The sequence below is a fragment of the Homo sapiens genome, chromosome 12 (assembly GCF_000001405.40).
Source record: "Homo sapiens chromosome 12, GRCh38.p14 Primary Assembly".
Taxonomy (NCBI): domain Eukaryota; kingdom Metazoa; phylum Chordata; class Mammalia; order Primates; family Hominidae; genus Homo; species Homo sapiens.
The window spans coordinates 110,674,475-110,689,510 of record NC_000012.12 but is presented as its reverse complement, the minus strand read 5'-3'; the positions used below and the strand labels follow the sequence as shown (position 1 = coordinate 110,689,510).

The window sequence follows — 15,036 nt, the reverse complement described above, 5'->3', positions numbered from 1 at the left end:
AAAGGGGTTGGCGGGGTGGATTCGCCCCGCTCCAGCCGGCGGAGGAAGGAAGTGGTTCCCCCGCCCACCCTTCCCTTAGGCTGGCCCGGGGCAGGATTTTTGTGATCCGCGATTCGCTCCCACGGGCGGGACCTTTGTAACTGCGGGAGGCCCAGGACAGGCCCACCCTGCGGGGCGGGAGGCAGCCGGGGTGAGGGAGGTAGGGACGAACGGGTGGACTGACCACAGGCAGGGACAAGGGGACTAAGACCCGGGCCGAGGCCTAGAAGCCCGCCGACCGTTGGGGGTCTGCGGGCTGTGGGGGCGGGGACGGGGGCGGGGGCGGCCCGGGCGGGGGCGGGGCCTGGTACGGTACGGGGCGGGACGGGCTGGGCCGGACCTGCTCTGAGGCTCCCAGTCGCAGCGGTGACCGCGGGCGGGTGGGGCGCCGGGTAAGTGCTCGGGCCGGGCGGGGGGCGTACCCCGTTTGGCGTGCAGCCCTTTCTACAAGACCCCCAGTGCCCGATCCTTCCGAGAAGAGGGGACCCCCCCCCGCATCTCCGCTGTCCAGGCCTCGCCGTGGAGCCCCAGCAGGACCCCAGCCCTCGGTTGCCCTCGGCTCTGGCGTGTCCCGGCGCGGGCGGGCAGTGCTTCCCCTCGGCAGGGACTGGAGTCCAGGGGAGGGGAACGCGGGAGACGCTGGCCCTAGTGACCCCCCGATCCCGGAGAGTTGGTGGTGCGCGCCGCCCTGGGCCAGGTGCCTTCAGTTCTTCACACTCCGCGCAGCAGCCACAGGTGACCATCGTCGTCTCCCTCTTAACAGGTGAAGAAACCAAGACGCAGAGAGGCCAAGCCCCTTGCCTTGGGTCACACAGCCAAAGGAGGCAGAGCCAGAACTCACAACCAGGTCTGTGTCCCCTAAGTCCTCGGATGCATCGTCCCTGCCCCGCTGCCCTCCCGGGAGATTGTAGGAGAGAAGCAGGGGCAGAGGCAGTGCTGGATGTCCCGGGAGAAGGCTGCAATGAGCAGGCCCAGCCATCCCTGAAGGAGGAGCCCCGGGGAAGCAAACTCTTCCCTAGAAACACTTTAAAAGCACCCACCTGTTGGAGACAGAGATGCTGAGGAACAAGAGTGATTGGGGCCAGGGTAAACGCCAAGACAGAGAGGGGAGAGCAGTTCCTCAGTGGAACTCCCTCCAACATTGCCCCCACCACTTTTACCAGTGCTGGGTGTGGGGGATCTTGCAGGCTCAGCTTCGTGACTTGGCCTGTCTCTGCCTCAGTTTCCGCATCTGTCCCATGAGGTTAAGCATGTACCTACCTCGCAGGATTGCTGAGAAGATGATATAAGATGCTTGGTGTACAGGCTTAGCCCCTGGCACCAGGTTACTACCAAAAGTTCATGGTTCCAGTGCTTCCTCCACCCTCCGTCCTGCCCCTCTGAGAGTACTTCTCTGTCCTGGGCACCTTTAACTTCAGGTTGTTCAGGGCTATCTGAGATCTGCAGGATTTCCGGACAGCCCCACCAGCAACTAGGAGCTGCTTGAGTAAGACCAAGGTGAGGGGGTGGCAACTTCTCTGGCTGACTCCCCAGAGGGAAAGGCTGATAAGGGCAGGGTTTTGAAAATCTCTGGGCTGAGGCTTGCACAAGGTCCAGAGCTGCTCTGTGGCCCCTGCCCTCCCCGACACAGGTTTAGCAAGAAGGAGAAAGCCAGAGTGTTCTTGTCCCCAGACTTGATCCTTTGCTAGTCATTGGGGCTTGGGCCCTGGGAGCTGTCATCCACCACCCCGCTCCTCGTCCCTTCCCCACAGTCTAGGCTAGCGACAAGTTCTAACCCAAAGCATATCCTGAATCCGGCCACCCCTCCACCCCCTACTTCCACCCTGAGACCAGGCCGCCAGCATCTCTTGCCGCCTCATCACGCTGGACCCCTCACTTCCATCCAAATCCCCAGCATCGCCTGCCAAGCCCTCTCCATGATCAGGCCCTGTGTGATTATTCTCAATTTTTCTCTCTGGCCACTGTCCTGTCCACTGCTGTCCCCAGCCGCCACCTCCTAAGTACTCCGCTCTCTCAGGGGCTGTGCACAGCACACGTGTTCTTCCTTTTCCCGGGAATGCTCTTCTCTGCAATCTGTGACATACTCCCTTGTAATTCAGGGCACACCATAAATGTCGAGTTGTCCCTGACCACCCCACTTAAGGAGACCCCGCCTGCTCCCTGGCCCCTTACTCTGGCTGGCTGGCTTCCCAGTGCTTAGCTGGGGGGGGGGGGTGTGGTCTGTCTTGTATATTTCCTTGCTTCCTTGTTTGTCTCCCCAGGTAACATGTCAGTCTACCAGGATCGTGATCTTGCCCTTTCCTCTTCACCTTGGATTTCCCAGAACCTGGGAAATCAGTGCCTGGCACCTAGGAATGGCTCAGATAGTTTTGTACAGTTGCAGGCAATGTGTCAGCCATCAGCCTATTTTTCTTCTCACTGCTTGACAGCATTTTTTCTCCCGTTTCTACATAGACTTCAGAATTATCCCTCCCAAGAGCCCACTGCCTTCCTCAGCTTTTCCCTAAAGTAGGGCTTGGGGGTTGAGGGCCACTTCCAGGTTTTAGCCATACTATTCAACTTAGCTATAAATATCATTGTCCATATTGTGCATGTTTTTGGCTATCAAATGGCTTCTTGGAGATACAGTTTCCTAACCAAGGTGTGCAAGTCAAGGGTGGGATCATTTTGGAAGCACTTACCTCTTGTGACCAGGTAGCTATTTAGAAAAATCATCCCCAGGAATGTGTGCACATTTCTCTGCAGCTCTGCAAGCATTGGTTTTTATCCTTTTTATTTGTTTTGGCTAGTTTAATGGAGAAGGGCATGGTAGTTTTAAAGTTTCTGTTGCTTGAATTGCTGAAGCTGAGTGTTCCTCTGCGTGTGTGCTAGTTCTAGCTCCTGTCTTGCAAAGGTAGGAAATCTCCAGGGCACCTTAATTTTTCCCTTCACCTCCTCTTGTGGTGATGGTTCCACTTGAGCCCCTCTCGTGAGAGCAGGTTGAGAATCCCAGGGGGCTGGTATAGGGACATGCAAAGCTGAACTCTGCTGGGTCCAGAAGTTGCTCTGCCAGTCAACCAGCGAGAAAGTCTAAGAGTCCCTTGCACCCTCAGCATGTAACTGTGGGGAGAGAAAGAACCTCTTTAAAGTTTTCTTGAAAGTTTATTTCAAAATAATTTTTTAGAATTAGGCCAGGCACGGTGGCTCATGCCTGTAATTCCAGCACTTTAGGAGGCTGAGGCAACGGATCACTTGAGGTCAGGAGTCTGAGACCAGCCTGGCTAACGTGGCAAAACCCCGTCTCTACTAAAAATACAAAAAAAAATTTTAGCTGGGCGTGGTGGTGGGCACTTATAATCCCAGCTACTCAGGAGGCTGAAGCAGGAGAATCGCTTGAACCTGGGAGACAGAGGTTGCAGTGAGCCGAGATCATACCACTGCATTCCAGCCTAGGCAACAGAACGAGACTCTGTCTCAGGGGAAAAAAAAAATTATAGAAGTTACATAGAGGGATCAGGTGCAATGGCTCATGCCTATTATACTAACACCATGGGAGGCTGAGGCAGGAGGATCACTTGAACTCAGGAGTTTGAGACCAGCCTGGATAACATAGTGAGACCCCCCTTTCTACAAAAATTAGCTGGACTTGGTAGTGTGTGCCTATAGTCCCAGCTACTCGGGAGGTTGAGGTGGGAGGATCGCTTGAGTCCAGGATCTTGAGGCTGCAGTGAGCTCTGATCGCACCACTGCATTCTAGCCAGGGTGACAGAGTGAGACCCCAACTCCAAAACAAAACAAAACAACAACAACAAAAAAAAAAGGGTGTGCAGGGTTATTTATGGAAGCGCTGGGGTGGGAGGAGATTGGAAACAACCGTAAATGTCCATCACTAGTAGGATTAAACACATTCCTACAGGGGACTCATGTGCAGCCATGACAAGGCGTGCACTTCATACAGGACACACTGGCATAGAACCACCTCTGAGATACTGTGTTAGTCTTCTGTGGCTGCTGTAACAAATGGCCACAAGCTTGGCAGCTTAAGATAACACACATTTATTATGCTACAGTTCTGGAAGTCAAAAGTCCACAATCGGTCTCAGTGGGCTCGAGTCAAGGTATGGGCAGGGCTGTGTTGCTGCTGCAGGCTCTGGGGGAGAATCTGTTTGCTTGCCTTCCCAACTTCTAGAGGGGCCCACATGCCTTGGATTGAGGCCCCATCCTCCATCTTTAAAGCACTGAATCTTCAGATCTTTCTGACTCCAGCCTCTGCTTCTGTCCTCACAATCTCTTCTTTCTCCTGCCTCCACTTATCAAAGACCCCTCTGATGACATTGGGTCCACTAGGATAATCCAAAATCATTCCCTCCATCTTGAGAGCTGCAACTTAATCATGTCTGCAAAATCCTTTTTGCTATGTAAAGTAATATACAAGTTCAAGGATTAGGGTATGTGCATCTTTGAAGGGGAGCATTATTTTGCCTACCACACCCTGAAGGGAAATAAGGTTCACAGCAGTATGTGGGTTCACATTTGTTTACAAAAAAAATAAAATAAAAGGTTGGGGGAGAGTATCTACTCATGTGCTTGTGAGGGCATAGAATACTCCAGAAGGCGACGTAGGAAACTGGTCAGAGGGTCAGAGCGACCACTTCTGGGAAGGATAATGGGTAGAGGGGAGACTGACTTGTCATAGAATATCTTTTTGTATAATTTAAACTTTTTACTACATGCATAGATCACCTATGTTAAAAATAACGTTTTAAAGTAACACCTACTCATTGTAAAAGTTCACGCCTCCCAGAAGCAGAGAAGGAAAGCCCCACACCCAGATCACTCCCTTTTCTTCCAAAGATAACCACTGCGAAGAGTGATCCTTACGGACCAAAAAAAAGCATCTGTATTTCTTTTGACTTAGATGGGGTCATCCTGTAGACTCTGCCGTAATGTGACTCCTCTGTTTGCTCTGTGGCTGGCGTCTTTCCACGTCCATATGTGAATACTCAACAGCACTAGCAGCTCCTGCTGCTCAGAGGTGCATTCACTGATATAGCTGGTGGTGGGTGTTCAGAAGGTTTTACTGTTTTTCAGAGCAACCCCAACACTGTAATGTCTGTCTTTTTTCAATTGGAGTGAAATTCACATAATGTAAAGCTAACCATTTTAAAGTGAATAATTCAGTGGCATTTAAGTACATTTCACAGTGTGCGGCCTTCACCTCTATCAGAACATTTTCACTGTTTTTCTTTGTATTAAAATTAATAATATATCATTTTGCTTTTTAAAAAATACCTTGTTAGCTGCACAGAACATTTGCATCATCCCAAAAGGAAACCCCCTAATCCATTAAGCAGTCACTCCCCATCCTTCCCTGTCCCCAGCCCCTGGCAACCACCAATCTGCTTGTTCTGGACATTTCATATCCTGTTCCGGACATTTCATATCAATGGAATCATACAATATGTGACATTTTATGTCTGGCTTTTTTCACTTAGCATGGTATCTTTGAGGTTCATCTACATTGTAATAAGTATCAATACTTTATTTCTCTCTCTTTTTTTTTTTCCTTTTTTTTTTTTTTTTAGATAGAGTCTTGTTCTGTTGCCCAGGCTGGAGTGCAGTGGCACGATCTCGGCTTACTGCAACCTCTGCCTCCTGGGTTCAAGCGATTCTCCTGCCTCAGCCTCCGAAGTAGCTGGGATTACAGGTCCCCACCACCATGCCCAGCTAATTTTTGTATTTTTAGTAGAGACGGGTTTTCACCATGTTGGCCAGGCTGGTCTCAAACTCCTGACCTCAGGTGATCCACCCACCTTGGCCTCCCAAAAGTGCTGGGATTACAAGTGTGAGCCACCACACCTGGCCCCCTTCATTTCTTTTTATGGCCAAATAACGTTCCATTGTGTGGACAGACCCATTTTGTTGATCCATTCATCCATTGATGGACAAGCGGGTCGTTTCCACCTTTTGGCTTTTAAGAATAATGCTGTGAAAGCCTATGAACTTTCGTGTACAAATAAGTATTTGTTTGAGTCCCTGTTTCAGTTCATTTGGCTCTATATCCAGGATGTATGCCCTCCTACATATACTTTGTACTTTACACTAATTTCGGGCACAGTTAAAACTAAACTAACTTAAAACTAATTTGTAAGAAAGGATTACAGAGCACATACCAAGGCAGATGGCAGCAAGATGATAGATCTGGACAAATGTCTTTTTATTTTTCAGATCCAGAGGCAACAGGGACATGGCCACCTGGGACGAAAAGGTAATGGATTCTGTGGTCTTGCAGCATTAGAGGATATCCCAGCCTTGAGAGGATAATTCTGTTTGGTGTTTCAAACAGGAGAGGGAGAACTCCCTGTTCAGGTGTTTCCACTATACTGAAATATTTAAAATCAAAATGATGAAAAGCTGTAAAAGGACTTCACAAAACCTCCAAGTAGCCTGATATTCCACATCAGACCATTTGAATCCCAGCCCTGTATGTTAATAACTATGTGCGGTTTTTTTTGTTTTTTTTTTTTTGAGATGGAGTTTCACTCTTGTTTCCCAGGCTGGAGTGCAATGGTGCAATCTCAGCTCACCAGAACTTCTGCCCCCCAGGGTTCAAGCGATTTTCCTGCCTCAGCCTCCCAAGTAGCTGGGATTACAGGCATGCACCACCACACCTGGCTAACTTTGTATTTTTAGTAGAGATGGGGTTTCTGCATGTGGGTCAGGCTGGTCTCGAACAGTGCATGTTAATAACTATGTGTCCTTAGGCACAAAATAACTGTGTGCCCTTCAATTCCCTGAGCCTCAGTTTCCTTATCTGGAAAATAGTGAAAAGATTATTTACCACCCCTGCCCTTGCAGGATTGTCGGGAAGATTTGATAATACAGTGGTCTCAGAATGTTAGGCAAGTACTGAGCCCATACAGGGCTTGGGCACAGAGAAGTAAAGTCACTTCTGAAGATCACACAGCTAGAAAGTGGCAGAAATGGGATTTTAGGCCAGGTGTGGTGGCTCATGCCTGTAATCCCAGCACTTTGGGAGGCCAAGGTGGGCAAGTCACTTGAGGTCAGGAGTTCAAGATGAGCCTGGTCAACATGGCAAAACCCTATCTCTACAAAAATACAAAAATTAGCCAGGCGTGGTGACATGCGCCTGTAATCCCAGCTACTAGGGAGGCTGAGGCAGGAGAATTGCTTGAACTTAGGAGGCAAAGGCACGGTGGCTCACGCCTGTAATTCCAGCATTTTGGGAGGCCGAGGCAGGTGGATCACCTGAAGTCAGGAGTTTGAGACCAGCCTGGCCAACATGGTGAAACCCCATCTCTACTAATAGTACAAAAATTAGCCAGGCATCCTGACACACACCTCTAATCCCAGCTGCTTAGGAGGATAAGGCAGGAGAATCGCTTGAACTTGGGAGGCAGAGGTTGCAGTGAGCCAAGATCGCACCATTGCACTCCATCCTGGGTGACAAGAGCAAAACTCCGTCTCCAAAAAAAAACAGAAATTGGGATTTCAACCTGGCCTGACTCCAGAGGAAATGCTTTCCTCCTGTACCTTATGGCCATCTCGAGTAGGAAATAGACTGTGTCTTTGATATGTGAGGTGCAGGTTTGTTGGATTTGGGGGGCATTGGTTGTGAAGATTGGGGGCAAGGTAGAAAGGAAGTGTTGACTTTCACATCAGCTGTTCATCTTGAGGTTCTGGGGGCCTAGCCAGGCCAAGCTGGCGAGGGCAGAGCAGGAAGCTCAGGGCAGCAGCAGGGGTGAGTGGGGCAGAGTCTGAGAAGCAAATGTGAGGGTCAGAATGACCACGGGATGATGATGATGATGATGGTGATTGTGTATTTCATCAAATTGATGACCCTGGTAACTGTAAGAGTTAGGAGCCCCAGGAGCTCCAGGTATCCTTCATAAGAGAGTCAGCATGGAAGAAAGGTTAAGTGGGAACTGTTCATGCTTTTCCTTCATTTGTAGTTCCCTATTAAATTAGGCAAACCAAAAAGAACATTCGGAAATGCTTAATGCTGATTAGACTGTGATGAAACCAGCTCACTCATACATATCACGGGGGACTGGGTCAACCCATGCCACTGTTCTAGACACAAAATTTGACCATGTGTATCAAGAATCTTGAAAATATCCATATTCAAGCCTGGTCATCTCACTTATGGGAAAAGAACCCATAAAAAAGAAAAAGTACAATTTATGGCACCATGTTTCTTAGCACATGAGACAACACTATGCGTGCACCTTATTTTATGTACTATGAAGAAAAAAAGCAAAACCATGTGCTGCCATTTACTGTGATAAAAAGTAACACAGGCTGAAACCGATCAATTGTCAGGCCCAGCCAGATTTCAGAGACATTAAAATGTGAGAAAACGTGGTCTTAGAATTGGATTAAAAACCATCCAAAATGGTTTAAAAACATGCAAAATGCAATAATGAGATCATTTGACTCCTTGGTAAGTTTCCTGGCCTCTGAACAGGTGCGAATCTGACGCATATAGTGGTAAAAAATAAGATAGAAAATTGTCTGCTGCCTTTTTTTGTTTTGTTTTTTTGAGACAGGGCCTGGTTCTGTCTTCCAGGCTAGAGTGCAGTGGTGCAATCTCGGCTCACTTCAACCTCCGTCTCCTGGGTTCAAATGGTTCTTGGGCCTCAGCCACCCTAGTAACTGGAATTACAGGTGTGCGCCACCATCTCCAGCTAGTTTTTTTTGTTTTGTTTTGTAGTTTTGGTAGAGACAGGGTTTCTCCATATTGGCCAGGCTGGTCTCGAACTCCTGGCCTCAAGTGATCCACCTGCCTCAGCCTCCCAAAGTGCTAGAATTACAGGCATGAGCCACCGCACCTGGCCCACTGTCTTTGATTATAATTGTAAAAGATAAAGACAGGTGGGAGAGAAAGAGGTAGATGGGTAGATGATACATAAGTTTGGTGTGCAGGGATTGTTATGAATTTATTTCCCTTTCTTTTGTTCCTTTTTTCACAATAGTAATAAATAGATCAAGGCTATAGGTCTGTTCATGGGGTAAATGGCAGCAGGTCAAGCTGGGGGTATGCATTTGAGTCTGGGGGTTCCAAATGAGGCTGGGGGTTGAAGGAATGAGTTGGTGGCTGAGGACCTTGTCAGAAGCCCATACCAGGGCACAGAGACAGCAAGGGAAGTAGGGATTGCAATGCACAACCAGGGACACACCTTGGGGAACTCCCAGGGCCTGGAACCTGGAGCCTGGAGCCTGTTTGTCATCACACAGAAGCTAGCCTGAGAGGGTGTTGTCAGGAGGACATTGCTGGGGGGCTGGGGAAAGAGCCAGGACCGCTTGTGGCAAATAAGCCTCTTACTGGTTTGAAGAACATGTTCCTTTTCATGATCTGCCCTTATGGAATTAATTGTGTTTTGGAAAAAAGTTGTCTTAATGAGATTGCTTTTAGAGCTTTTTGAGTGTCAGCTCTCCTCGTTTCTGAGAGGAAAACAGCTGTGTTAGGAGAGAAACTGGTGGGGTTTTGTAGCCATGGTGCAGACCTGGCTTGCAGTTCTGCTGAGATAGCCTCATCGGCCCTCCTCAGAGCCCCTCTCTGCCCCCTGCCACCTCCCAAAGCTTCAGTTTTCCTCTTTTTTTTTTTTTTTTGAGACGGAGTCTCGCTCTGTCGCCCAGGCCGGACTGCGGACTGCAGTGGCGCAATCTCGGCTCACTGCAAGCTCCGCTTCCCGGGTTCACGCCATTCTCCTGCCTCAGCCTCCCGAGTAGCTGGGACTACAGGCGCCCGCCACCGCGCCCAGCTAATTTTTTGTATTTTTAGTAGAGATGGGGTTTCACCTTGTTAGCCAGGATGGTCTCGATCTCCTGACCTCATGATCCACCCGCCTCGGCCTCCCAAAGTGCTGGGATTACAGGCGTGAGCCACCGCGCCCGGCCCAGTTTTCCTCTTTTGTAAAATGGGAACGATCACACTACCTCACAGAGTTGAGGTGAGGGTTAAACAAGATTGCGTGCGGAAAACACTTAGCCGGGTGCCTGGCTCGAGCCTGCATTTAAGACATGGGAGCTGCTGGCTCTGTCATGAGGATGAACTGGCTTTTCAGCCCTCAGCTGACCTTGTTCCTTGGCACAGGTGACTGCACTCAGCAGCCACCTCTGGGGAACTTAAGAGCCAGGTGTGTGTGGAAATCCCTGCAGCTCCTGGGCTTATTTCGCATGAGGCATGCAGAGGCCCTTGGTGCAACTGGGGTTCCTTACCCACCTCGGCTGCACATCCACCACCGCAGCACCCAGACCACACCCAGATGGGTTGAATTGGAAGCTCTGAGCCCAGGACTCAGGTTTTGGGGTGCCTTAAAGCTGCCAGGTGATTCCAACATGCAGCCTGGCCTAGGCAGCCCCTCCCTCTACAGAAGGAGGAAAGAGGGATAGCTGAGCTCTGTGTCCTGTGGTTTCCATGGCCAAAGCATCAGTAGATGTTGGCTCAGGTGACCTAGTCACACAGGTGGCAGCTCTTCATTTCTACCTGGGTAACTTTTTCTTTTTTCTTTCTACACTTTTGTAAAACAAATAGCACAGCCCCTGCTCCTGGTTGACATGACTGAAGTCACAGGCTTGGACCAGACTCCCCTCTCAGTCATTCCCAGGGAAATAGGCAAAGCGTGTCCCCCCAAAACTGTGTCTTTAAACTCAACGCATTGGTGAGTCCTGAAATCCATTGAGTGGGCTACAGTCGACCTTTTAAGAAATGAAATAGGGCTAGGTGCAGTGGCTCACACCTGTAATCCCAGCACTTTGGGAGGCCAAGGCAGGCGGATCACTTGAGGTCAGGAGTTTGAGACCAGCCTGAGTAACATGGAGAAACCCCATCTCTATTAAAAATACAAAAAATTAGCCAGGCGTGGTGGTGCATACCTGTAGTCTCAGCTACTTCCTGGGCTGAGGTGGGAGGATCTCTTGAGCCCAGGACGTTGAGGCTGCAGTGAGTCCTAATCATGCCACTGCCCTCCAGCCTAGGTGGCAGAGTGAGACCCTGTCTCAAAAAAAAAAAAAAAAAAAAAAAAAAAAAGAAATAGAATGAAATGGAAAATAAGAGCGCCTCACATAGTAACTTCAGTGCTAGTTATGGAATGTGTGTACACAAGTCAGTGTGTACTGAGATGCAGGGTATGAAATGTGATTTCTTATTGAGAAACACCGCTCCAAACTCCCTTCCCAGCATGGGGCTTCCCCAGCTGTGAGGAGGGTGCAGGGCTGGGCAGTGTTCATGAGGGGTCCCGCAGGAGGAGGGGGAGCTGGGCTTGGCAGCCTGGGTTGGAATCCTAGCCTTGCTTCTCGCTGGCTGTGTGACCTGGGGCAAGTCACTGGCCTCTCTGTTCTCAGTTTCCTCATCCATAAACAGAGACATTGCAGTCCCCGCCTCATGGGCTTGTTACAGTATGTTAATGAAGGTCTTTGCACAGAGCTCAGAAAATATTAAATAGCAGGTATTCTGGGGATAGTTGGAATGATTACAGTTCCTACTCCTGTAAATATGTCCCATATAGTCTGTATGCAGCCCTGCCATCATCTCACCAGGCTGACCGGCTCATCTATCAGGCAGGAGGGTTCCTAACCCTATAGAAAAGGAGACAGTTGGGGAGCATGGCTTTAGGGGAACCTGGGCTGCCAGTTAAGCCCCTCAGCCTGTAAGCAGCTCCTCCTGCCAGAGCTGATCAGCTGTCACGGTGGTTGTTTTCATGAACCTCAGACTTCCTCCCCACCCTAGAGAAGGAAAAGTTTCTACACTTATTTAAAGACTTCCCTGATTTTAAAAATAGGCCTTCCTCAGAACACGGATCCCCTGGGGCAGGAAGGGAGAAGTGCTGGGGGCAGCTGAGCCTGCTGCTTGGAGTCCTCTTGCCTCCCCACAGAGAAGAGATTTGCTCAGGGGTTTCATTCCACCTTCCACCATCCAGGAGGTATGTTTAGCAGGAGCCTGTGGTCTGCCAGGCACAGAGGTCATGCTGTGAACAGCTGGGCCACATGAGAGTGTGATGGGGAAGGCCTGGCCAGCTCCTGAGAGCTGAGATGAAGAAGAAGATAGAGGACAGGGTGAAAGGGGGTTGCACATTCTACGCAAAAGAAGTCACGTGTGCAAAGGTCCTGTGGTTGGAGAAACCAGCCAAGTATGAAAGGCTCAATGTGGCCAGAGTGGGGACAGAGGTGAGAGGGAAGGTGAGAAGATGGGCAGACAGAGGCTAGATAGAGCGTGCAAAACAGGAGTGGGCTTCTGGGAGGCATTGATGTCTTTTTTTTTTTTAACAGACAAGGTCTTGCTGTATCACCCAGGCTGGAGTGCAGTGACACGATCACAGCTTACTGCAGCCTCAACATTCTGGGCTCAAGCGATCCGCCTCTCTCAGTCTCCCAAGTAACTGGGACTAGAGGCGAGCACCACTACACCTGGTTAATTTTTAGATTTTTTTGTAGAGACGGAGTCTCACTCTGTTGCCCAGGCTGGTCTTGAACTCCTGAACTCAGTGATCCCCCTCAGCCTCCCAAAGTGCTGGGATTACAGGTGTGAGTGACTGCACCCAGCCAAAAGTTTTAAATAAGGGAGTGTGTCAGGGTTCCCGAGACCCTATGCCCAGTGTCAGTGACTCACTAGGAGGACCTGTGGGACTCGCATGCAGATGTGCTCCTGGCTCAGATTAATTGCCACAAAAGGATTGAAATTAAAATCAGTAAAGGGAAAAGGCACGTGGGGTGAAGTTCAGAAAAAACCTGGCACAAGCTTCCAGAGCCCTCTCCTGGGTTGGGGGCAGAGGTCCTTGGGGTCACACTTATTTCCTCCAGCAGGGAGTTGTGACAAGATGTGTGAAGTGTTTGCAAGCAGAGCAGTTCCTTAGAGACCCAATGCCCAGAGTTTTCATTGGAGCTGGGCACAGAGGTACCCTCTGCCTGGCACTTAGAAAAATTCCATACTCTCCAAATGAAAGTAGGAGTTCAGCATAAACCATGCTGTTTCCACAAGCAGTCTAGGCACAATGAGCTGCTCTTATCAGGGAATGGCGGGAATTTTCCAGAAGTCCAAATTCCCAGATGCCAGTGGAGGCCAGGCAGGCCTGTCTGAGGAAGGCAGCCTCGGGACCGCTGGGCTGGCCCTTTTCTGCACAGGGAGTGATGTAGTCATGCTTGGAGGGATGCTCTCCTGCAGCTGATGGAGAATGCAGCAGGGAAGGAGAGAGCAGAGAGGAGCTGCGACAGCCTCCAAGTGAGGCAGGGGGTTGGCCAGGGCAGTGGCAGAGGGTGGGGGAAGTAGGTGGCAGATCAGGGGTCATTTAGTTGCTGAAATGCACCAGGCTTAATGCTGGACAGGGCTATAGGGGAGGATGAGTGAAGCTAGGACTGGGGACAGCCGCTCTGGCCCTGCCTGGGTGGTGTTAAGACCCTGGACCAGGAAGCAGCACACCCAGCTGCAAGTCTGTGGACTGTCCACTGACAGGTGGTGGTTACCATGTTGCAGTCTTCAGTTTGCTCCTCTGCTAAGGGAGGTAAGACTGCATCTCAGAACCTTGATCCCATCTCTTATTTATTTATTTTATTATTATTATTATTGAGACAGAATCTTGTTCTGTTGTCCTGGCTGGAGTGCAATGGCATTATCTCGGCTCACTGCAACCTCTGCCTCCTAGGTTCAAGTGATTCTCATGCCTCAGCCTCCCAAGTAGCTGGGATTATAGGCATGCACCACCACCACCCCCAGCTAATTTTTGTATTTTTAGTAGAGATAGAGTTTCACCATGTTGGCCAGGCTGGTCTTGAACTCCTGGGCTCAAGCAATCCACCCACCTCAGCCTCTCAAAGTGCTGGGATTACAGGCATGAGCCACCACTCCCAGTCCCATCTCTAAAATGTCATTTTTGTTGCTGAAAAAAAAATCTACTTTTCTGCCATTTTTTTCTCTGTATTGGCAGAGAAAAGAACAAAGCTAGCGGACTTGAGTTCCTGTGCTGGCTTTATCACTTACTTATGATTTTATTTTATTTTTGGTTTTCTGTTTCTTTTGAGATGGAGTCTTGCCCTGTCACCCAGGTCGGAGTGCAGTGGCACGATCTTGGCTCACTGCAACCTCCGCCTCCCAGGTTCAAGCAATTCCCCTGCCTCAGCCTCCCAAGTAGTTGGGACTACAGGCATGCGCCACCACGCCTGGCTAATTTTTGTATTTTTAGTAGAGACGGGGTTTCCCCACGTTGGTGAGGCTGGTCTTGAACTCCTGACCTCAGGTGATCCACCAGCCTTGGCCTCCCAAAGCGCTGGGATTACAGGTATGAGCCACCGCACCCAGCTTTATGTTTGTTTTTTAACAACGCTACATGAACATATGTATAGCATAATAAATTAAAACAGCAAACAGGTATATATTAGGTTGAATCATATGAAATTATCAATTTCTTCTAGTTTTTATCTACAAAGATGGCACTTTTAAGTCCTCTTTTATATCAGAAAAGTTTTCTTGAATTATATCTTTGTTCTAGTCTATTAATCTCATTTTCTTATTCAGGGATTCCAGTTATGAATATATTGGTTCCTTCTCTTCCCACCTCCACTAAATACTTCATTCACCACTTAACTCCCTGCAGGCTGGATCTCAGTCCAAAAATGGCAATTTCTTAGGGATAAACCTTGTATTTGTTTTCATGCTGCTGATAAAGACATACCTGAGACAGGGAAGAAAAAGAGGTTTAATTGGACTTATAGTTCCATATGGCTGGCGAGGCCTCAGAATCATGGCAGGAGACGAAAAGCACTTACATGGTGGCAGCAAGAGGTGATGAGAGAGAAGCAAAAGCAGAAACCCCGATAAACCCATCAGATCTTGTGAGACTTATTTGCTATCATGAGAATAGCATGAGAAAGATTGGCCCCCATGATTCAATTACCTCCCCCTGGGTCCCTCCCACAACACATGGGAATTCTGGAAGATATAATTCAAGTTAAGATTTGGGTGGAGACACAGCCAAACTACATCATTCTGCCCCTGACCCCTCC

The 15,036-nt window shown here is 49.3% G+C and overlaps 1 protein-coding gene across 18 annotated transcripts in view, besides 6 other annotated features; it reads left to right on the top strand.

Moving 5' to 3' along the window:
• HVCN1 (hydrogen voltage gated channel 1) overlaps positions 1 to 15,036 on the top strand; it is a 56,267-nt gene that overhangs the window by 15,442 nt on the left and 25,789 nt on the right. For 5 of the 18 annotated variants that reach the window (XM_011538846.3, XM_011538847.2, XM_024449225.2 and 2 more), the window contains 2 exons: positions 803 to 886; positions 6,247 to 6,286. In XM_011538846.3, coding sequence (XP_011537148.1) covers positions 6,266 to 6,286 — 21 coding nt within the window. In that variant the 5' untranslated portion in view covers positions 803 to 886; positions 6,247 to 6,265. Of the gene's footprint in view, positions 1 to 101; positions 200 to 395; positions 716 to 802; positions 887 to 6,246; positions 6,287 to 11,822; positions 11,964 to 15,036 lie in introns of those variants that run through there. The other 13 variants (XM_017020026.3, XM_011538842.3, XM_011538839.3 and 10 more) reach the window with 10 other exon arrangements.
• Positions 76 to 145: a silencer, noted in NCBI's record as "silent region_4860". NCBI's record gives its function as "represses an Ori minimal core promoter by ATAC-STARR-seq in GM12878 lymphoblastoid cells {active_cell/tissue: GM12878}" and the evidence as "EXISTENCE:reporter gene assay evidence [ECO:0000049][PMID:35858748]".
• Positions 206 to 705: a silencer, noted in NCBI's record as "silent region_4859". NCBI's record gives its function as "represses an Ori minimal core promoter by ATAC-STARR-seq in GM12878 lymphoblastoid cells {active_cell/tissue: GM12878}" and the evidence as "EXISTENCE:reporter gene assay evidence [ECO:0000049][PMID:35858748]".
• Positions 886 to 935: an enhancer, noted in NCBI's record as "active region_7022". NCBI's record gives its function as "activates an Ori minimal core promoter by ATAC-STARR-seq in GM12878 lymphoblastoid cells {active_cell/tissue: GM12878}" and the evidence as "EXISTENCE:reporter gene assay evidence [ECO:0000049][PMID:35858748]".
• Positions 1,498 to 2,326: an enhancer, noted in NCBI's record as "H3K4me1 hESC enhancer chr12:111124990-111125818 (GRCh37/hg19 assembly coordinates)". NCBI's record gives its function as "activates a minimal SCP1, AML or CMV promoter by ChIP-STARR-seq in primed H9 embryonic stem cells {active_cell/tissue: H9 hESC(primed)}" and the evidence as "EXISTENCE:reporter gene assay evidence [ECO:0000049][PMID:30033119]".
• Positions 11,639 to 11,998: an enhancer, noted in NCBI's record as "active region_7021". NCBI's record gives its function as "activates an Ori minimal core promoter by ATAC-STARR-seq in GM12878 lymphoblastoid cells {active_cell/tissue: GM12878}" and the evidence as "EXISTENCE:reporter gene assay evidence [ECO:0000049][PMID:35858748]".
• Positions 12,049 to 12,188: an enhancer, noted in NCBI's record as "active region_7020". NCBI's record gives its function as "activates an Ori minimal core promoter by ATAC-STARR-seq in GM12878 lymphoblastoid cells {active_cell/tissue: GM12878}" and the evidence as "EXISTENCE:reporter gene assay evidence [ECO:0000049][PMID:35858748]".